This window comes from Homo sapiens, chromosome 14 (genome assembly GCF_000001405.40).
Source record: "Homo sapiens chromosome 14, GRCh38.p14 Primary Assembly".
Taxonomy (NCBI): domain Eukaryota; kingdom Metazoa; phylum Chordata; class Mammalia; order Primates; family Hominidae; genus Homo; species Homo sapiens.
The window spans coordinates 49,836,736-49,859,639 of NC_000014.9; the positions used below are offsets into that span (position 1 = coordinate 49,836,736).

Here is a 22,904-nt window from a genome sequence, read left to right on the forward strand (position 1 = left end):
CTTATGTGATGTGTTGGGATAGAAGTGTTTGAGATTTCAGATTTTTTCACATTTTGGAATATCTGCATATACATAATGAGATACCTTGGGGATGGAACCCAAATCTAAACACAAAATTCATTTATGACTTTACGCAATATAGCCTGGAGGTGATTTTATACAATATTTTAAATAATTCTGTATAGCTGTCACATAAGGTCAGTGTGGAATTTTCCACCTGTGGCATCACGTCTGTGCTCAAAAAGTTTCAGACTTCAGGCCAGGCACGGTGCCTCACACCTGTAATCCCAGCACTTTGGGAGGCCAAGGCAGGTGGATCACGAGGTCAAGAGATCAAGACCATCCTGGCCAACATGGTGAAACCCCATCTCTACTAAAAATACAAAAAAAATTAGCTGAGCGTGGTGGCATGAGCCTGTAGTCCTAGCTACTTGGGAGGCTGAGGCAGGAGAATTGCTTGAACCCGGGAGGCAGAGGTTGCAGTGAGCTGAGACTGCACCACTGCACTCCAGCCTGGTGACAGAGAGAGACTCTGTCTCAAAAATAATAGTAATTTTAGGCTTAAGATTTTCACATTAGTAATGTTCAACCTGTACTACCTGATTTCAAACATTACAGAAATTTGCCAGGGGAAGGCCAAGTGTGGTGGCTCACGTCTATAATCCCAGCAATTTGGGTGGCCAAGGTGGTTGGATTGCTTGAGCTCGGAGTTTGAGACCAGCCTGGGCAACATAATGAGACCCTACCTCTAAAACAAACAAAAAAAATAAATTAAAAAAGAAAAGAAATTTGCATTTGCCAGGGAGACACTGGCTTAAACATACAAATTTTACACATGCTATACTAACAGCTGGAAAGTTCTAAAGATAACTTTTGAATGCTTTCTAATTTCATAAGAGAGGAAGAGTTAACTCTCTAGTGCTCAGTAATCAATGGTACCTGCCTCCCCGTCTTCTCTAGATTCCTTAATATAGGGCTAAGTGATGATCTTCTCAAGTATAAAAGTGTATTGGGATCAAAAATGCTTATTGGGATCAAAAGGACCTGTCAGATGCTGGGATGCCCTGAGACCCACCAATTAAAAAAAAAAAAAAAAAACCAAAAAAAAACTAAGCTAAGTGGTTATTAAATCAAAGACTCACAATGAAAAAATCTGATTTCTTAGAATACTACCATTAGCACTGAAGTACTAGATAACACAATCTGCATTGCTTTTAAATAAAATCTAATAGATAAAGCTCAAACTTCATGTGGTTTAACTTCTCTTTCTTTGACAATAAACTCCTACTTACTCCAAGGATCACTTGTTCAAATTTTCTAATAAAACCATAAAAGATTTCAATATATTCCTGAAAACCACACTGCCTTGCAAACATTTCACTGCTATTTGCAGGAATACTCACGAAGTAATGGGTTAAGCACCCTCTTCAGTAGTTCACCCTTAGGTGCGCTGGCTACTATTTCAGTCAACCTGTGAAACAAAACGGACATGCCTCTATCATATCTTAAATAAACCTTACAGCAATCTTCATATTAATACTACTTTCATCTGTATCAGTTCACCTGATCTTTACAATAATCTGAAACGTAACAGGAATTCATTCTTCTGTTGTGAGAAAATGGATCATAAAAGATATTTACCCAAGATTAACAGGTTCTTGAATGGCAGTTTTCTAAGATAAACCAGTATTTTTTCGACCAAGGCATATTGTCAGCAATGTGCCCACATATAAATGACATAAAAATGACATTTTTCTGTAAAAGTTAAATGTTTGTAAATTTTCATGCCATATCTTAATATCCAAAATGGTTTACCTAATTAAGCATCGAACAACTTTTTTTTTGTTTGGTTTTTTTTTTTTTTTTTGAGACGGCATCTTGCTCTGTCGCCCAGGCTGCAGTACAGTGGCACGATCTCGGCTCGCTACAAGCTCCGCCTCCTGGGTTCACGCCATTCTCCTGCCTCAGCCTCCCGAGTAGCTAGGACTACAGGCGCCCGCCACCACGCCCGGCTAATATTTTGTATTTTTAGTAGAGACGGGGTTTCACCGTGTTAGCCAGGATGGTCTCAATCTCCTGACCTTGTGATCCGCCCACCTTGGCCTCCCAAAGCGGTGGGATTACAGGCGTGAGACACCGTGCCCAGCCAGCATCTAACAACTTTTAACAATGCTGTACATCAATGTGGTCCCCATACCAGCATCAGCATTACCTGAGAACTAGTTAGAAATGCAAATTCCTGGGTCCTAGACTAGATCTACTGAATTAGCAGAGGGTGGGGGTGGCAATCTATGTTTTAACAAGCCCTCCAGGTAATGCTGAAGCATGTTAATTTTTTTTTTTTTATTTTTTTTATTTTTGAGACAGAGTTTTGCTCTGTTGCCAAGGCTGGAGTGCAATGGCGCAATCTCAGCTCACTGCAACCTCTGCCTCCTGGGTTCAAGAGATTCTCCTGCCTCAGCCTCCCAAATAGCTGAAATTACAGGCATGCACCACCATGCCCGGCTAATTTTTTTTTTTTAATTTAGTAGAGTCGGGGTTTCACCATGTTGGTCAGGCTGGTCTGAACTCCTGACCTCAGGTGATCCATCCTCCTCGGCCTCCCAAAGTGCTGGAATTACAGGCGTGAGCTACAGTGCCTGATCAACTTTATTTATTTATTTAATGTAGACTAGTTAAGTGAAGCAGTGGGAGTGGAGAAGGAACAAAGAAATGATGTATGTTAAACTTCAGGAACCACTGCTATAGAATATGAGTCAGCAGGGCCTTCCAGCTAGCTGGAATACAGCTGAAATACAAAAATACAGCTACAATCATTACTTTACCTCACCGAACTTCCCTTTTTCTTACGTAAACCAGAATTTCTCTCCCTTTGCCCTCTGCACAAGATATCCATCTGTCTTCTCACAGAGTAGCTAATAAGTCTCCTCAATTTACCAAGAAATCATAACCATTTGAAGTAACCCAAAACTTAGCTAAAAAACACATTGGGCTTGCTTCGGCAGCACATATACTAAAATTAGAACGAAACAGAGATTAGCACGACCCCTGCACAAGGATGACATGAAATTTGTTAAGTGTTCCATATTTTTTAATTTTAAATTTAAAATTTAAAAAAATTACAATGAAAAAGAAAGACATTGGCTGGGCCCGGTCGCTCATACCTGTAACTCCAACACTTTAGAAGGCTGAAGTGGGAGGATTGCTAAAGCCACAAGTTCAAGACCAACTTGGGCAACAAAGCAAGACCCCATGTCTACAAAAAAATTTAAAAATTAGCCAGGCATTGTGGTGGGCTCCTGTAGTTCCACCTACTTGGGAGGCTGAGGCAGGAGGATTGCTTGAGCCCAGGAGTTCAAGACTGCAGTGAGCTATGATCACGCCAACTGCACTCCAGCCTCAGGGAAGGGGGAGTGAGACACCACCTCTAAAAAAACTAAAGACAACCGAGCACAGTGGCTCATGCCTGTAATCCCAGCACTTTGGGAGGCCGAGGCAGGCAGATTGCCTGAGGTCAAGAGATCAAGACCAGCAAGGCTAACATGTTGAAACCCCATCTCTACTAAAAATACAAAAATTAGCTGGGCGTGGTGGCGCACGCCTATAGTCCCAGCTACTCGGGAGGCTGCGGCAGGAGAATCGCTTGAACCTGGGATGCAGAGGTTGCAGTGAGCTGAGATCGTGCCACTGCACTCCAGCCTGAGCAACAGAGCGAGACTCCATCTCAAAAAAAAAAAAAACACCTAAGGACATACATTTGCCTCTCCCAAATAAGACTTAATTGCTTACATGCACATTTATGTAGTTCAAACAGTCTAAATTGAGTTACGTTATCTAAGTAAAACAAAATATTTTATCTCACAGTTCTTTCACGTTCTGACATATGACCCATTTTACCTTTTTTTTAAGAGACAGGGTCTCATTATGTTGCCCAGTACATTTTAATACAATACGAAATGGGTTTAAAAACAAAACACTTTACCTTTCCAAAGTAAGCAAAGGTTCAGCAGCTCTAGCATGATCAAGTGGATAGCGTTCACGAACAGCAAATTTAACATCATCTGCCTCATCAGTTCGAAACCTTAGAATATTTAAAATTACGTACTCATAATCTGTAAGAACAATGTTCCCCTGCAATAAAATAAAATACAATTTAGCGCTCTTTCAAATAATTTTTGAGGCCAGGCACAGTGGCTCACACCTGTAACCCCAGCACTGTGGAAGGCCGAGGCAGGCAGATCACTTGAGGTCAGGACTTTGAGACCAGCCTGGCCAACATGGTGAAATTCCATCTCTACTAAAAATACAAAAGTTAGCCAGGTATGGTGGCGGGTGCCTATAATCCCAGCTACTTGGGAGGCTGAAGCAGGAGAATCACTTGAATCTGGGGGGTGGAGACTGCAGTGAGTTGAGATCGCACCACTGCATTCCAGCCTGGGCAACAAGAGCAAACTCTGTCTCAAAAAAAAAAAAAAAAAAAAAGGAAATAAAAAAACAAAACAAAACAGAAAAAAACAAAGCAAATCATTTTTGAGACTACTTAAAAATTGAGAAAGAAGCCGGGCATGGTGGCTCATGCCTGTAATCACAGCACTCTGAGAGGCCGAGGAAGGAGGATCACCTGAGGTCGGGAGTTCAAAACCAGCTTGACCAACATGGAGAAACCCTGTCTCTACTAAAAATACAAAATTAGTTGGGCGTGGTGGTGCATGCCTGTAATCCCAGCCACTTGGGAGACTGAGGCAGGAGAATCGCTTGAACCTGGGAGGTGGAGGTTGCAGTGAGCTGAGACTGAGCCATTGCACTCCAGCCTGGGCAACAAGAGCGAAACTCTCGTCTTAAGAAAAAAAAAAAAAAAAAAAAAATTGAGAAAGAAAATGTGGTCAATTTCAGAAGCCAGCCAGGCAAGGAACATATTACACTTCCACCTGCAATTTGTCTTTTAATATTAATAGTTACATGGCAAGAGCAATATAGTTAATTATACCATTTGCCCACAAATTTCCACATTTGGTAATGTAGCCCAATGAAGTAACTCCAACACTCCAGTAAAACCAAAGGCAATATGCTTAAAGATGTTCACTGAATGGCTGGGCGCAGTGGCTCACGCCTGTAATCCCAGCACTGTGGGAGGCTGAGGCGGGCAGATCACCTGAGGTCCGGAGTTCAAGACCAGCCTGACCAACATGGAGAAACCCCGTCTCTACTAAAAATACAAAATTAGCCAGGCATGGTGGCGCATGCCTGTAATCCCAGCTACTCAGGAGGCTGAGGCAGGAGAATGGCTTGAACCTGGGAGGCGGAGGTTGCTGTGAGCCGAGATCACGCCATTGCACTCCAGCCTGGGCAACAAGAGCGAAACTCCGTCTCAAAAAAAAAAGATGTTCACTGAAATTTATCTACAATAGAAAAAAAAAACCCCAAACAGCCTAAATGTAAAAGTTAGGGAAATTAAATTATGATAGCTCAACACAACAAAATAGTAGAAAGAGGTTACCTAATGGAAACAATGTTAGAAAAAAAGGAAAACATAAATAATGTTAGGTAAAACATAGCAAAGACACACAAAAAAGTTATATCCTAGAAAATGGAAGGCATATGTAGGCTAAAATGAAATTACTTCTTAAAGATTTAGAATTAAAGACTTTTTAAAATTTAATATTGCTAGATAACCTTTTCAATAAAAAAGAAGGGGGAACATAATGAAAATAAAGCTAACGAAAGAATACCACCTTCCAAATTTATTACTGACAGTGAAGATCAGAGTTACTCTACAGGTATAATTAAAATACAAAGAAGCATCCATGAAAACAGTCAAAAATGCCTTACAACTGTTTACAAGATAGTCACAGAATACGGTGGGAGTAATCCCAAATTCATCTGAAATGACAGGTTGCAATGTAAGTGGCTTCAGTAAATGTAGCCACCATTTACGTTGGTTAGAGAGATAGATAACCAGAAATTACTAAGTGCTGAAAAACTAGTAGCAGGCCAGGCGCAGTGGCTCACGCCTGTAATCCCAGCACTTTGGGAGGCCAAGGTGGGCAGATTATCTGAGGTCAGGAGTTCAAGACCAGACTGGCCAACATGGTGAATCCCTGTTTTACTAAGAGTACAAAAACTAGCTGGGCGTGGTGGCAGGTGCCTGTAATCCCAGCTACTCGGGAGGCTAAGGCAGGAGAATCGCTTGAACCCGGGAGGCGGAGGTTGCAGTGAGCCAAGATCACACCACTGCACTCCAGCCTGGCGACAGGGTGAGACTTATTCTCAAAAAAAATTAAAAAATAAAAAAAAAGAAAGAGTAAAAACTCAGGTTAGAGTAGAAAAGGACATTTACTACACAAATAATCAGCAAAGGGCTCATAATCAGATTAGATAAAGAGCTCTAAGAGATCATATCAAATGTTGCTAAGGATGTGGAGCTAAGGGAATTTTCAACATCAATGAATCTCACAGACATTATATATTGAATAAAAGAGCCAGGCGTGGTGGCTCACCCCCGTAATCCCAACACCTTAGGAGGTTGAGATGGGAAGATTGCTTGAGCCAGGGGTCCAAGGTCAGCCTGGGCAACGAAGTGAGAGTCTGTCTCTACAAAAAATAAAAAAATTGGCCAGGCATGGTGGTGCACATCTGTGGTACCAGCTACATGAAAGGCTAAGGCAAGAGGGTCACTTGAGCCCAGGAGGCCGAGTTTGCAGTAAGCCCTGATCATGCCACTGAATTCCAGCCTGGCCAACAGAGCAAGACTCTATCTCAAAAAAATAAAAAATATTGCATAAAAGAAGGCAGACCCAATGTCATGCATTGCTTAACAATGGGGATACATTCTAAGAAATGCATTTAGGCAACTTCGATGTCGTGTGAACGTAATAGAGTATACTTACACAAACCTAGACGGTGTAGCCTAATACATCCACCAAAGATATGATATAACCTATTGCTCCTAGGCTAGGAATCTGTATAGCATGTTACTGAATACTGTAGTCAACTGTAATACAATAGCAAGTATTTGTGTATCTAAGTACATCTAAATATAGAAAAAGTACAGTAAAAATATGGTATTACAACAACAGTTCCAGGCCGGGCGCAGTGGCTCATGCCTGTGATCCCAGCATTTTGGGAGGCCAAGGCGAGCAGATCACCTGAGGTCAGGAGTTTGAGAACAGTCTGGCCAATATGGTGAAACCCCATCTCTACTAAAAATACAAAAATTAGCTGGGCATGGTAGTACATGCCAGTAATACCAGCTACTCAGGAGGCTGAGGCACTAGGATTGCTTGAACCCGGGAGGCAGAGGTTGCAGTGAGCTGAGATCACACCCTTGCACTGCAGCCTGGGCAACAAAGTGAGACTCTGTATCAAAAAAAAAAAACCAAAACAAAACAAAAAAAAAACCGCAGTCCCCAGCCTTTGGCACCAGGGACCAGTTTCATGGAAGACAATTTTTCCATGGATGGGGGGTGCAGGGGTATGGTTTCCGGATGAAACTGTTCCACCTCAGATCATCAGGCATTAGATTCTCGCAAGAAGCATGCAACCTAGATCCCTTGCATGCACAGTTCACAATAGGGTTCACGCTCCTATAAGAATCTAATGCCACCACTGATCTGACAGGAGGCAGAGCTCAGGTGAGTAATGCTCACTCGCATACTGCTCACCTCCTGCCGTGTGGCCTGGTTCCACAGACCAGTTCCAGTCTGCGGCACAGGGGTTGAAGATCCCTGGTATAAAAGATTAAAAATGGAACACCTGTATAGGGCACTTACCATGAATGGAGCATGCAGGACTGAAAACTGCTCTGGGTGAGTGACAGTGAGTAAATGTGAAGGCCTGGGACATTACTGCATACTACTGTAGACTTGATAAATACTGCACACTTGGGCTACACTAAATTTGTTTTTTATTTTTTAATTTTTAAAAAAATTATGCTTACCTCAGACCAGATTAAATTTATGTATTTATTTATTTATATACATACACACGCACGCGCACGCGCGCGCACACACACACACACACACACACACACATATATTTTTTTTTTCCTTTTTGAGACTGAATCTCACTCTGTCACCTGAGCTGGAGTACAATGGCATGATCTCAGCTCACTGCAACCACTGCCTCCCAGGTTCAAGTGATTCTCCTGCCTCAGCCTCCCGAGTAGCTGGGACTACAGGCACGCACCACCACACCAGGCTAATTTTTGTATTTTTAGTAGAGATGCAGTTTTGCCACATTGGGCAGGCTGGTCTCAAACTCCTGACCTCAGGTGATCCACTCGCCTTGGCCTCCCAAAGTGCTGGGATTACAGGTGTGAGCCACCACACCTGGCCCAGATTAAGTTAGTTAGTTAGTTAGTTAGTTAGTTTATTTTTGAGACAAAGTCTTGCTCCGTTGCCCAGGCTGGAGCACAGTGACACAATCTGAGCTCACTGGAACCTCTGCCTCCCAGGTTCAAGTGATTCTCCTGCCTCAGCCTCCCGAGTAGCTGGGATTATAGGTGCCCGCCACCACGCCCAGCTAATTTTTGTATTTTTTAATAGAGACGGGGTTTTGCCATGTTGGCCAGGCTGGTCTTGAACTCCTGACCCCAGGTGATCTGACCCCAGGTGATCCGCCCTCCTCGGCCTCCCAAAATGCTAGGATTACAGGTGTGAGCCACTGTGCCCGGCCTGAGTCATTGCGCTCAGCCAAATTTATTTTTAAGATGTTTTTCTTTCTTCAATAATAAATTAACCTTTGCTTCCTGGAACTTTTTTACTTTATAAACTTTAAACTTTTTAGCTTTTTGACTCTTGTAATAACACTTAGCTTAAAACACATATCGTACAGCTGTACAATACTTTCTTTCTTTAGATCCATATTCTCTAAGCTTTTTTTCCATTTTAAATTGTTTTGTTTTTACTTTTAATGTTTTTGTTAAAAACTAACACACAAACTCACACACCAGCCTAGGCCTACACAGAGTCAGGATCAAGATGTCACTAAGCAGTAAGAATTTATTAGATCCATTACAATGTTACAGGACCAACGTTTATATGCAGTCTGTTGTTGACTGAAACATCACTATACATACAGCGCATCAGTGCATGACCGTATTTGACTATTTTCTGGTTGCATATTAGTCCTGAAATGTCAAGTACCAAATAATTTACTTCTCAGATCTTCATCTCCTACATTCATAAGGCTATTCTAAATGGCTAAAGTCTGCCTAAACTCAGACCTACAGATAAAATGAAGGTTATTACTGGAAAATTTTATTTTATTTGTGTGGCACCCATTTCCTAGGGTAGTAACAACCTTTGACACAGAAAAAAAATGTTCCCCCACTCATGTTATATAGCACTATTACAAAATGATTAATAAGAAATTTTCCTTCACCATATCCCACAAATTTAACTTACCCTATCATAGAGCTCAATGATTAAATGGTAAGCAGCTTCATCACTTCCAAATTGAAAATCTACAATTCTATCCACACCAAGCTGTTTTGCACTGACTAATCTCCGACTCTTCAAATGTTTTCGGCACTAGCAAGAGAAAGAAAAAGGCATTCATTTAGTAAAAGTGAATTCCTAACCATTTGGTATTGGTTTATAAATAAGCTTCTTTTCATTATCATCAGGAATATTTAAAACGTTGTGAATAACAGTATAGTCATAAAGTAATAGATTGCAGATGATAATCAGAGGGAAAACATTTTATTATAAACACTAACTCTGAAACAGTGTTTTATTTGCATTTTTTTAAGACAGGGTCTCACTCTGTCACCCAAACTGGAGCCCAGTGGTGTGATCATGGCTCGCTGCAGCCTCGACTTCCCTGGCTCAGGTGATCCTCCTGCATCAGCCTCCTGAGGATTGGGACCACAGGCACATGCCACTATCCCCAGCTAATTTTTTCATTATTTGTAGAGACAGGGTCTCACTATGTTGCCCAGGCTAATCTCAAACTCCTGGGCACAAGCAATCCTCCTGCCTTGGCCTCCCAAAGTGCTGGGATTACAAGCGTAAGCTACTGAGCCAGGCTTTTATTTTCAATTTTTAAGTAGAGAATGATGGACCTATAGCAAAATTTGCTTTGTTGCTTTATACCACTGCTAAATTCCTTGTTGTGGTCCTAATGACCTCACTCATAAGCCACAACCTTTATTTATTTACTTTATTTTGAGAGAGAGTCTCGCTCTGTCGCCCAGACTGGAATGCAGTGGCACAGTCTCAGCTCACTGCAACCTCCGCCTCCCAGGTTCAAGTGATTCTCCTGCCTCAGCCTCCTGAGTAGCTGAAATTACAGGCGTGTGCCACCACACCCGGCTAATTTTTCTATTTTTAGTAGAGACGGGGTTTCACCATGTTGGTCAGGCTGGTCTCGAAGTTCTGACCTCGTGATCCGCCCACCTCAGCCTCCCAAAGTGCTGGGATTACAGGCATGAGCCACTGTGCCCAGCCAACCTTTACTTATTTATTTATTTATTTATTTATTTGGAGACGGAGTCTCACTTTGTCACCCAGGCTGGAGTACAGTAGCACAATCTTGGCTCACTGCAACTTCTGCCTCCCAGGTTCAAGCAATCCTCCTGCCTCACCCTCCCAAGAGTAGCTGGGACTACAGGCGCCCACTACCACGCCTGGCTAATTTTTTGTATTTTAGTAGAGACGGGGTTTCTCCACGTTGCCCAGGCTGGTCTCGAACTCCTGAGCTCAGGCAATCTGCCCACCTCGGCCTCCCAAAGTGTTAGGATTACAGGCGTGAGCCACCACACCCAGTCCCTTTATTTTTTTTAAGTCTCTTTGATGACACTTCTAAGTATGCCAAATTTCCCTTTTGTATGCTTCATTTATGTTCAAAATTAATTAATTGTTTCCACTAATCTTCTACTTCTAATACATATCAACTATGGACCATGAGCTTATGGCTTATGGTATCCTGTAAATAGTCCACCACCTTATATCCAGTTACCCCTACCAATTCTTTTTTTTTTTTTTTTTTTTTTTTTTTTCTTTAAGAGAGTCTTTGCCAGGAGCGGTGGCTCAGGCCTGTAATCCCAACACTTTGGGAGGCCGAGGTAGGTGGATCACTTGAGGTCAGGAGTTCAAGACCAGCCTGGCCAATATGGTGAAACCCCATCTCTACTAAAAATACAAAAATTAGCTGGGCGTGCTGGCGCATGCCTGTAATCCCAGCTACTCAGGAGGCTGAGGCAAAAGAATCGCTTGAACCCAAGAGGCGGAGGTTACAGTGAGCCGAGATGACACTACTGCAATCCAGCCTGGGCAACAGAGCAAGACTCTGTCTCAAAAAAAAAAAAAAAAAAGAAAGGGACAGAGTCTCTCTGTTGCCCAGGCAAGGCTCAAACTCCTGGACTCAAGCAATCTCCCACCTTAGCCTCCCAAGTAGCTAGGATTACAAGTGCCCTGCCACTGTGCCCAGCTTATTCCTACAAACTTTACTAATATAACCCAAAGAGAATTTTCCTGGTATCGTCTCTAAGCTTTTGATAACCTATTTCAATCCAATGTAATAACTCTCATTCTTTATTAAATCCCCTTCCTCCTATCCCTGGCCATAAGGTTCTTTTTCTTATTAACAATTAAAATAATATTAGTATATCAAATCCAAATACAATTTACTTGGCAATACCTACTCTTTTAGATTACATGTACCGTCTTTTTGTACAAATATTGAAGTATGACATGGACTGGTAACAAGACTACTCTGTAGCCTCTAAAATATCTTACAATTGTTTCTAATTTTTTAATATAAAAGACCCTTTAGTTAAGACCAATAAGAAAGAATGCTTTCTTCAAGACTCAAATACGGTCTGGGTATGGCAGCTCACGCCTGTAATCCCAGCACTCTGGGAGGCCGAGGCAGGCGGATCACAACGTCAGGAGTTCAAGACCAGCCTGGCCAACATGGTGAAACCCCATCTCTACTAAAAATACAAAAATTAGCCAGGCATGGTGGCGTGTGCCTGTAATCCCAGCTACTTGGGAGGCTGAGACACGAGAATCACTTGAACCCAGGAGACTGAAGTTGCAGTGAGCCAAGACTGCGCCACTGCCCTCCAGCCTGGTGACAGAGCAAGACTCCGTCTCAAAAAAAAAAAAAAAAAAAAAGACTTAAATACGAAACAAATTTTACAGAAGTTAATCTAAGACCACCTTCAAAAAAAAGACAAAAAATCCACTCCTTGACAAAGGTTGAAAAAAAACAACAATAAACACATAAATTCATTATTAAAATTAATGCTAACATTTTCATAACTAAGAAGAGTTCTTCTCCAGACCTTATAGCCCAAATTGACTGAAATTCGCATTTTATATACTCACATAGGCAGAATAACTTCCTAGGATAAACAATCTGCTCCTCCTTAACTCAGTAGTTTTAAGAATGACCTATACTGATTTGATTAAACAGTAACCTACATGTAGGGCTATCTTTAAATCCCTAGAGGAAAATCACAATCAGTTCTTCCAGAGTCCCTGAGTAATAATTTTATTCAAGAAAAATAAAGACAAAAGGCATCATTGAAAGGACAGAAGTTCACACAAAGGAATAGTAAAAAGGGGATTATTTATCATGGAGAGTACAGATGGACACATAGTACATATTTAAAGCTTGTTTCATTTCCCTATCAACAGCTTGGTGAAATCAACCTGCTGCTGTGTGCCACAAAGCTATAGCTGTCATCCCCAAATGTGAATACTGGAACAACCACTGTGATTTATCACATAATAGACATAACTCTGCCTGTGCCATGCAACAGTAACAGCTCTTTGATTTATAAAGTGCTTAACATTGTCTGCTCCATTGAGGAAATCTTTCTATACATTTAGATTGACACGTACACCTAACCCATAGAATTCTAAGTATTTTTTAAAGTGACTGACCTATTAGTGTAGTCTGATTTGGAGATGTTTACACAATCCCAGTGTCCTATTTCATTGGCCTGTTACCTCATCCATAAAACTGAAATTGTATTTGTTCTTCACAGTCCACTGAGTTGCTAAACAACTTAAATGAAATACATATTATTCATCTGCCTTAAAAAGTGCTACACAACAGGTAGCATTATTATTGTCATTATTATTAAGGACAGGCCCCAAAAGAACTATTTTGGGTTACTATTAAATAAATTAAACTTTAATAATCTGAGAATTTTGTGAAAGCCCTTGTGATATGGAAACACTTACCTAATTTGTAATCCAAAACAGACTCTAAATTGCTGGGGGGTAAAGCTCTTCTCTGTAAAGCCTCTAATGAAATAACTCAATGCCATAACAGATACATTGCCAAAGTAAGGAGCGGAGCAGGAAGGAAATGAACATGTATGGAGTTCTAATATGTGTCAGGTATTGTTTCAGGTGCCTTTCTTTTTTTTTTAGATGGAGTCTCGCTCTGTCGCCCAGGCTGGAGTGAAACAGTGCGAACTCAGCTGACTGCAATCTCTATCTCCCAGGTTCAAGTGGTTCTCCTGCCCCATCCTCCCAAGTAGCTGGAATTACAGGTGTGTGCCACCACGCCTGGCTAGTAGAGACAGGGTTTCACCATGTTGGCTGGGCTGGCCTTGAACTTCTGACCTCAAGTGATCCACCTGCCTCAGCCTCCCAAAGTGTTGGAATTACAGGCATGAGCCACCGCACCTGGTCTGTTTTAGGTGTTTTATATATCATTTCAATTAATCCAATAATTTCATGAAGGAGGTACTATCCACATTTTACATTTAAAGAAACTAAATTCCAAGAGGTTAAGTAACTTTTCCAGGTTATAAAATTACTTTCTGACAAAGCTATTAATTCAAAGTTAAGTATATGTGACTCGAAAGTCTCGTGTACCACATGAATTTTCAATCTATATGTTACATCAATAAAAGAATGGGTAGCATGCCCACCCATGTAAAAATCTGTTTTAATAGTAAAAACAAAACAGAAAAATAAAAAGACTTAGTAACATATTAATGTCAGTGAGTATTCCAAAAAAAAAAAAATACTGACTGGGTACAGAGGAATACGACTCACAAAAGTGAGCTCTGGAAGATAAGACTAGGAAAAAAAGGTGGGGCAGGGAGGAGAAAGAACACAGAAAGCCAAGAATGTTAGGCTATAGAATATGGATTTAGAAATCAGGAAACCATAAAAGGTGAGGTAACTAATGAAAATTATACTTTAAAAAAATTAATGTTGGGCCAGGCGCGGTGGCTCATGCCTGTAATCCCAGCACTTCAGGAGGCTGAGGCTGGCGGATCACCTGAGGTCACGCATTTGAGATCAGACTGGCCAACATGGTGAAACCCCATCTCTACTAAAAATAGAGAAATTAGCCGGGTCTGGTGGCACACGCCTGTAATCCCAGCTACTGAGGAGGCTGAGGCAAGAGAATCACTTGAACCTGGGAGGCAGAGGTTGCAGTGAGCCAAGACTGTGCCACTGCACTCCAGCCTGGGTGACAGAGCGAGACTCCTTCTCAAAAACGAACAAAAAAACAAACAAACAAAAACAAAAAAATTAACGTTGGTCTAATTTAGAATTGTTTTGATGCAGAGAAGTGAATTACAGTTAAGGAACTGTAAGGCTGAATGTGATAAAAGCTTGAACTCTAATAGTGACTGTGGAAACAGAAGATCTGGAGCAGAACAGGATGTGAAAGGTAATGGGGAGAAATCAATTAATAAATATTCACTTTATTCAACCCATTATCTGTCAACCACTCCCTTTACCTTCATTTTATCTGCACTTTATTCGTAACAGTGAAGGAAACCCCAATTAAAAACTTAATTGTTAGTGAGCAATCTCTTAAAATTTAGCTTCAAGCGTAACAAGTTTACCTTCATGGCAAAACTAGACGGCATCATATTCTTAGGCCACTCAAATTCTGTTGTATGAATTCGTATGCCAGATTCAAGTAAAAGTGTAGCTTTAAAGTCCGGTCTGTAGAAGAAAAAAGTCGAATTTTTCTTTAGGGTATATGCCAAAGCTAATTGCTAAACAGGCTTAAAATGTAGGTTAAAAAAAATCAGTAATCTCATACTTAATTGTCAAAGAGAAAATAAGCCTATAAAATGTTCTTACTTTTGAAGACGAATAAGGTATGTCTTATTATCCACATCATAAACATTGTTTACTCTCATTCCTAGCAAGCTGCAAAGATAAAGGAAACATGTAACATGTTACACTATTGTCTGAAACATAAAACTACACATAATTTAATAAAAGCTTCGAAAGAGCGGATCTCAGTCTCTAAGGATATGGAGTCAGCCGAGGAGCAGAGTCTGAAAGCCATTTGGAGATTCAGTTCAAAACTTAAGAGTAACGATTTAAAAACAGAAGTGGTCTATCAGCTCTAGGAACAACACACTATAGCTTGCGTCTTCCAAATGACCCAATTTTGGGGGAGAAATACAGTAAAATATAATCCAATTAATTTATTACAAGGGAGAAAAAAAAAAGATAAAAGAGGGCCCCGAAAATATGACAAAGCTCACAGGGCTGAATAATAGAATCCAGACTAGAATCCAGATCTCAGTCCAAATCTGCTCAATCCAGCTAAAACCGCGATGCTCTCTCTCTCTCTGGGGTGAGGGGAGGGAGGTGTTCAAGAAACCAAGCCCCCAGTCTGGAAACCTCTGAAGCAAACGACCACTCTGGCGTCTCGTGTTTTAACAAACGTTTCCTGCCCAACCCGGACAACCCAGGCCAACAATGCAAGAGCTTCGCGCTAGCGGGGCAAGCCAGAGAGCTGGGAGGACGCGGGGGATGGGGCACGAGGTGCCTGGGACCCCCAGGGGTATCCTAAGGGTCACGGGAAAGACACCACACGCCTGCCCACTCAGGCCTAGGCAGGTCCATAGACGCACTAGGAAATAAGGAAACATATCAAGCTGGTCTGTTTGCGCCATGGGACTCCGGCCTCTGCCTCCTGCACTCCCCACACGAGCCTCGTCACTTAGGGTACTGTACCTAGCATTCAGCTCCGCGAGTACGGCGCGGAGGTCAATGGTGCTAAAGCGGCTCTTCATGGCGAGGCCCGAGGGTCACTACCGCAAGTTCCTCTACTGCCCGGCCGGACTCGACGCCACTTCTCCTCCGCGCAGGCGCACTTGGCGGAGCTCTACGGCCGCGCAGAAGACCCAATATTCCTCGAGGCGAACGTATTTGTGTCGCTTTTCTGAAGATTTCGATTGTCAAGTTGCAGCTGACTCTCTTCATTGTACCAAAATTCAAATTCGAATAAAGATTCAAACTGTTCTCTTGAAACTGCATTCCTTCCTGGAACCCTTACGGACCAGTCTGGTTACCGTGCCCCATTGTGTCTTGGGCTCAAGTCAGCCTTCATAGTGACCCCTGCTGGTCGAAACAATTTTCGAGATGATTATCAGGAGTATTTCCCCACAGGGGGGCCGTAGGGCTCAGTGTAGAAGAGCAAGGACCCCTTTCTGCGCGCTTACTTTGACATAAGATTTTGAAATGTAACGAAACGGAACTGCTTCGGTCCTTCTAAGATTATCCTCAACGATCGAGGCGAACTCTCAAAACGGAGTTCCTATTTTGATGGGTCCTGCTCTCGGAAGGAGCATTCTGCAATTGATTACAGGATTCTCATCGAACCTCGGTCTTGGTACCCCTGAGACTCACCGCAGTACCTGGTGTACAATCGGTGCTCCATAAACACTTGGCAGCATGAATGTGCAAGTGTTTAGCTAGATAATGGTGAAATAAGATAAAAATAAAAACAAGAAGATTCCCAATGGGGGTGGGGTGGGAGGGGGGATTCACAGTGTAGTGAGGAAAATAGTCCTGTAAGAATGTAAATTCTGCATTTCTTTTGTCTTAGGATAGATGCATGGGAAGAAAGGCTACTTTATAAGGTGAGAACTCAAAAGAGGCAGGGTCTCACTATGTTGCCCAGGCTGGAGTGCAGTGGCTATTCACAGGCGCAATCCCACTACTGATCAGCACGGGAGTTTTGACCTGCTCCGTTTCCGACCTGGGCCGGTTCACCCCTCCTTAGGCAACCTGGTGGTCCCCCGCTCCCGGGAGGTCACCATATTGATGCCGAACTCAGTGCGGACACCCGATCGGCATAGCGCACTACAGCCCAGAACTCCTGAACTCAAGGGATCCTCCAGCCTCAGCCTCCCGAGTAGCTGGGACTACAGGCACGCGCCACCGCGCCCGGCGCTCGGCGTCGCTGCAAAAGAGCTGCTAGAGGCTTGCAGGCTACACATGGTAGCAACCAGAATTCCTACCACCAGAAGGCGACTCTAAACAGAAAGGGCGCCGCTGCTATTTCAGAACTGGTACCAGTAGATGCAAAAATGGCTATAGCACATACTGCACAGCATTACTGTCATACGGTACAGTAAACCATACAGAATGGCCCAAAATATGAAAGCATTGGGGAGAAGGTGGAGAACAGGGAACTTTTGTATGCTGTTGATGGGAATGTAAATTAGTAGAGCCATTGTGCAAAACAGTATAAAGGCTCCTCACAAAATTAAGAATAGAATTACCATGTGATCTAGCAACAACATCACTATCCTGAAGATATATGTTCATGTTCATTGCAGCATTATTCACAATAGCCAAGATATAGGGATAATCTACTTTTCATCAATGGATGAACGGATAATGAGTGCAAATATATATGTACACACACACACACACACACATACATACATACAGTGGAATATTATTCAGCTTTCAAAAAAGAAATAAATCTTGCTGTTTGCAACTGGCATGGATTTAACAACATGGATGAACCTGGAGGACATTATGCTAAGTGAAATAAGCCAGACATAAAAAGACAAATACTGCATGATCTCACTTATACGTGGAATCTAGAAGTTTCTCATAGAAACAGACAGCAGAAATGTGGTTTCCAGGACTTGGGATGTAGGGGAAATGGGAAGATACTGGTCAAAATGCACAAACTTTCGGTTGTAAGTAGAGTAAGTTATGGAGACTTAATGTACAACATGCTGATTATAGTTCATAGTAATGTATTGTATGCTTGAAATTTGCATGGGAACAGAAAACCAAATACCGTATGTTCTCACTTATAAATGGGAGCTGAATGATGAGAACACATGGACCCATGGAGGGGAACAGCACACACTGGCGCTTATCAGAGGGTGGAGAATGGGAGGAGGGAGAGGGTCAGCAAAAATAACTAATGGGTACTAGGTTTAATACCTGGGTGATGAAATAACCTGTAAAACAAACCCCATGACACAAATTTACCTATATAACAAACCTGCACATATACCCCATGAACTTAAAATAAAAGTTAAATTAAAATAAAAAACAGAAATTTGCTAAGAAAGTGGATATCAAATACACACATACAAAGTGTGAGGTTATGGATGTGTTAATTGGCTTGATTGTAGTAATCATCTCACAGTGTATACATACATCAAAACATCACATGGCTGGGCCGGGTTGCTCACACCTATAATTCCAACACCTTGGGAGGCCAAGGCTGGCAGATGGCCTGAGCCCAGAAGACCAGCCCGGACAACATAGTGAGGCCCCCTCACCAATCTCTACAAAAAAATAAAAAAATTAGCCAGGTGTGATGGCATGTACCTATGGTCCCAGCTACATGGGAGGCTGAGGCAGGAGGATCCCTTCAGCCCAGGAGGTCAAGGCATGGTGGCCATAATTGTGCCACCACACTCCAGCAGGAGCTTCAGAGTAACACCCTGTCTAATAAAAAAAAAAAAAAAAAAAAAAAAAAAAAATTGGCCGGCTGCAGTGGCTCACGCCTGTAATCCCAGCACTTTGGGAGGCCAAGGTGGGTGTATAACCTGAGGTTGGGAGTTCAAGATCAGCCTGGTCAACATGCTGAAACCCTGTCTCTACTAAAAATACAAAAATTAGCCGGGCGTGGTGGCAGGCATCTGTAATCCCAGCTACTTGGGAGGCTAAGGCAGGAGAATCACTTGAACCCAGGAGGTGGAGGTTGCAAAGAGCCGAGACTGTGCCATTGTACTCTAGCCTGGGCAACAAGAGGGAAACCCTGTCTCAAAAAATATATATATATATAATATTTATATATATAGATATATGTATAATATATTTATATAATATGTATAATATATTTATATAATATTTATATAATATGTATAATATATTTATATAATATATAACATATTTATATATATATACACACCTCAAATATATGCAAATTTTATTTGTTCCCATAATTCATTTTACACTACTATAACAGAACACCACAAACTAAGTAATTTATAAAGAACATAAATTTAATGCCTCACAGTCCTGGAGACTAGGAAGTCCAAGATCAAAGGACTGGCATCTTGAAAGGGCTTTCTTGGTGTTACATCCCATGGTGGAAGAGCAACGAGAGAATGAGAGAGACAAGAGGACCAAACTCATCCTTTTATAAGGAAACCATTCCCATTTCTTTTTTCAGTAGCCCGAAACTGAGCCCCAGGCACTGTCTTATATAAAATATTTTAGTCTCTTATAAGCTTAGCATTAACCATCACTATGTTTGGCCTCATCAATAGATGTCTGGAATCTAGAATGAGAGATGGGATTTTTCAGTCCTATGCTTAGAGAGTAAATCAGAGATAGAATACATTGTTGTGTACTGGGGAATCATATTTTCCCAGAAAGACATACAAATGGAACAAACAGAATAGTGGAATTCAATTGAAACCATGTAATACAAAAAATAGTTGTGGTTCTTCTGGGTAAAAATAATGCTAAATTTGTTATTTATAACCCCAAGGGTTAAAGAAAGTACTAATGAAAAAATTTTAGGGCAATGGATTAAATCTTAACATAAGGAAGAACTTTCCGGTAGTAAAGACCGTTCAAATATTATTTAGAGATATATTCAGGCACTAAAAACCATTAAGAATAACAAGAGAATGCCACGAAGTCAGAATAGTGGTTATTTCTAAGAGGAAAGGTACTTGGGTGCGGGTTTCTGGGATGCAGGCAAAGTTCTATTTCTAGATGCCAATTATATAGTTTCTCACTTTATAAATTCCTTAAACTTACATTATGTGTATGTCTTATGCACAGTTTCATATGTACGACACAGCTCACAAAGTTTAAAAAGCAAAACAGCCAGGCACAGTGGCTTGCGCCTGTAATCCCAGCCCTTTAGGAGACTGAGGCAGGTGGATCACTTGAGCCCAGGAGTTTAAAACCAGCCTGTGCAACATGTTGAAATCCATTCTCTACAAAAAATATAAGAAACTAGCCAGATGTGGTGGCATGCACCTGTAGTCCCAGCTACTAGGGAGGCTGAGGTGAGAGGACCACCTGAGCCCAGGAGGTTGAGGCTGCAGTGAGCTGTGAGTGTGCCACTGCACTCCAGCCTGGGTGACTGAGTGAGACCCTGTCTCAAACAAAACAAAACAAAATAAATTTTAAAATGAAATTAAAGAGGCTGGGCACGGTGGCTCACACCTGTACTCCCAGCAATTTGGGAGGCTGAGGCAGGCGCAGATCACCTGAGATCAGGAGTTCGAGACCACCCTGGGCAACATGGTGAAACCCCATCTCTACTAAAAATACAAAAATTAGCCAGGTGTGGTGGCACATGCCTGTAATGCCAGCTACTGGGGAAGCTTAGGCAGGAGAATCACTTGAGCCTGGGACGTGGAGGTTGCGGTGAGTCAAGATCGCAACACTATACTCCAGCCCGGGTGACACAGCGAACGAGACTCTGTCTCAAAAACACAACAACAACAAAACCAAGAAGTTAAAGAGTAGGTATGATAGAAATTAAAAATGGCCACACATTCTTTAACACTCATGAAGTAGGTTCTGTTTTCTTCCCATCTTTGAATCCAGGGTAGCCTGTGATTCCTTTGACCAACAAAGCGTGGTAAACAGAAGTGATACTATGCTATTTTTGGCTCTAGCCTTTAATAAGACTTGTAGCTTCCAGTTTGGCCTCTTGAAGCTTGAGTTACAATGTTAGAAGTCTAATACCCTACCGTAGAGAGGCATTGAGACTACAGGGAGAGGAAGAGGAGCATGTCTTTACAGCCAAGCCTGTCAAGGCAGAGGCATGTGAATTCAGTTATCTTGGGCCCTACAAATTAGACCAGCCACCAGCTGAATACCACAATCAACTTCGCCTGGAGCAGAAGAATGTTCAGCTGAGTTTTGCTACAAACTCCTAACCCTCAAAGTCATGAAACCTAATAAAACCTAGTTGTATTCTCAAACTACTAAATGTTGGAGTAGTTTGTTATACGCAATAAATTACACAAAAATAGGCAGATTTAAGCAAATACATTAAAAAAGAAAGTAAGGGCCGGGTGAGGTGGCTCATGCCTGTAATCCCAGCACTTTGGGAGGCCGAGGCAGGTGGATCACGAGGTCAGGAGATCAAGACCAGCCTGGCCAAGATGGTGAAACCCCTTATCTACTTAAAAAAATACAAAAATTAGCTGGGCACGGTGGCAGGCGCCTATAATTCCAGTTACTCGGGAGGCTGAGGCAGGAGAATCGCTTGAACCCAGAAGGTGGAGGTTGCAGTGAGCCGAGATTGCTGCACTCTAGCCTGGGTGACAGAGAAAGACCCCGTCTCAAAAAAAAAAAAAAAAAAAAAAAGAAAGTAAGAGTTCCGCTATATTAAATTTGGCCTAAGGCTGCTGCTGTACCTTGAGTCCCTTAATACTGAACAACAATCCAATTTGGTACGTAAACAAATAGAAAGCTTACGAGTATATTCTTGTAACAAATAGCTGTCTCAGCCATCACAGCTGCCAAGCTTCAGCTAATCATAGGCTGTTAATTGAGCAAATCATGTCCAAATAAGGCAAATACTTGGCTGTAACCAATCAAGCTGTTTCAGTATCTCACTTCCCTTCTCTATCTGTGAATAGTCTCTGCCCACAATGTGGAACGCTCTGAATCTCTTCTGGTTCTGAGTGCTGTCCTGTTCATGAATCATTCTTTGGTCAAAAAACTCTGAAAAATTTAATTTGTCTGAAGTTTTTTTTTTTTTAACAGTTCTCATATTACTAGTAAACAAATTTAACCTGGGCATGGTGGCATGTGCCTATAGCTCCAATTGCTTGGAAGGCTGTGGCAAAAGGCTTGAGCCCAGGAGTGAGGCTGCAGTGAGCTATGATCTATGATCATGCCACTGCAATCCAGCCTGGTGATGGAGCAAGACTCCATCTCTTAAAAAAAAAAAAATAGAGTTTTAGAATAAGAAAACATTGTTTTGTACAAGGAATATTATTTTATTTATGTATTTTTTTTTTTGAGACAGAGTATCACTCTGTCACCCAGACTGCCAGACTGGCTCGGCTCACTGCAACCTCCACCTCCCGGGTCCAAGTAATTCTCCTGTCTCAGCCTCCTGAGTAGCTGGGATTACAGGCGTACACCACCACACCCAGCTAATTTTTGTATTTTTAGTAGAGACAGGGTTTCGCCATGTTGGTCAGGCTGGTCTCAAACTCCTGACCTCGTGATCCGCCTGCCTCAGCTTCCCAAAGTGCTAGGATTACAGGCGTGAGCCACTGTGCCCGGCCTAGGATGTTATTTTTAAATCAGTGAAGTACATACTCTAAAAGACAAAAGTCATAAACATTTATGTGAATATTTATATCCTCTTGGCATGGGTGAGACCATTCAAAGCAAAACACCAAAAGCAGAAAACATAAATGATTAGATTAACAGATCTGAATACATTAAAGGGGTATTATTTTTGTTTTGTTTTGTTTTGTTTTTGAGACCGAGTTTCACTCTTGTTGCCCAGGCTGAGAGTGCAATGGCTCACTCTTGACTCACCTCAGCCTCTGCCTCCCAGGTTCAAGCGATTCTCCTGCCTCAGTCTCCCCAGTAGCTGGGATTATAGGCATGTACCACCACACCTGGCTAATTTTGTATTTTTATTACAGA

General features: G+C 41.9%; 1 protein-coding gene, 1 non-coding gene and 1 pseudogene across 9 annotated transcripts in view, besides 2 other annotated features; 1 reads left to right on the forward strand and 2 right to left on the reverse strand.

Moving 5' to 3' along the window:
- The window catches only part of NEMF (nuclear export mediator factor), a 70,706-nt gene extending 54,653 nt beyond the window's left edge, over positions 1 to 16,053 (reverse strand). For 6 of the 8 annotated variants that reach the window (XR_943557.4, NM_001301732.3, NM_004713.6 and 3 more), the window contains exons 1-6: positions 15,960 to 16,053; positions 15,072 to 15,140; positions 14,828 to 14,930; positions 9,405 to 9,530; positions 3,983 to 4,131; positions 1,404 to 1,471 (exon numbers count right to left, since the gene is read on the reverse strand). Coding sequence is in view for 5 of the 8 variants with exons in the window: in NM_001301732.3 (NP_001288661.2) it covers positions 1,404 to 1,471; positions 3,983 to 4,131; positions 9,405 to 9,530; positions 14,828 to 14,930; positions 15,072 to 15,140; positions 15,960 to 16,018 (574 nt within the window). In the remaining 3 variants the exon portion in view is untranslated. Of the gene's footprint in view, positions 1 to 599; positions 1,380 to 1,403; positions 1,477 to 3,982; positions 4,132 to 9,404; positions 9,531 to 14,827; positions 14,931 to 15,071; positions 15,141 to 15,959 lie in introns of those variants that run through there. The other 2 variants (XM_047431912.1, XM_017021761.2) reach the window with 2 other exon arrangements.
- Positions 2,990 to 3,092, forward strand: RNU6-539P (RNA, U6 small nuclear 539, pseudogene; annotated as a pseudogene).
- Positions 16,060 to 16,299: an enhancer, noted in NCBI's record as "active region_8322". NCBI's record gives its function as "activates an Ori minimal core promoter by ATAC-STARR-seq in GM12878 lymphoblastoid cells {active_cell/tissue: GM12878}" and the evidence as "EXISTENCE:reporter gene assay evidence [ECO:0000049][PMID:35858748]".
- Positions 16,881 to 17,179, reverse strand: RN7SL3 (RNA component of signal recognition particle 7SL3). The gene has a single exon (NR_145670.1).
- Positions 17,103 to 17,162: a silencer, noted in NCBI's record as "silent region_5708". NCBI's record gives its function as "represses an Ori minimal core promoter by ATAC-STARR-seq in GM12878 lymphoblastoid cells {active_cell/tissue: GM12878}" and the evidence as "EXISTENCE:reporter gene assay evidence [ECO:0000049][PMID:35858748]".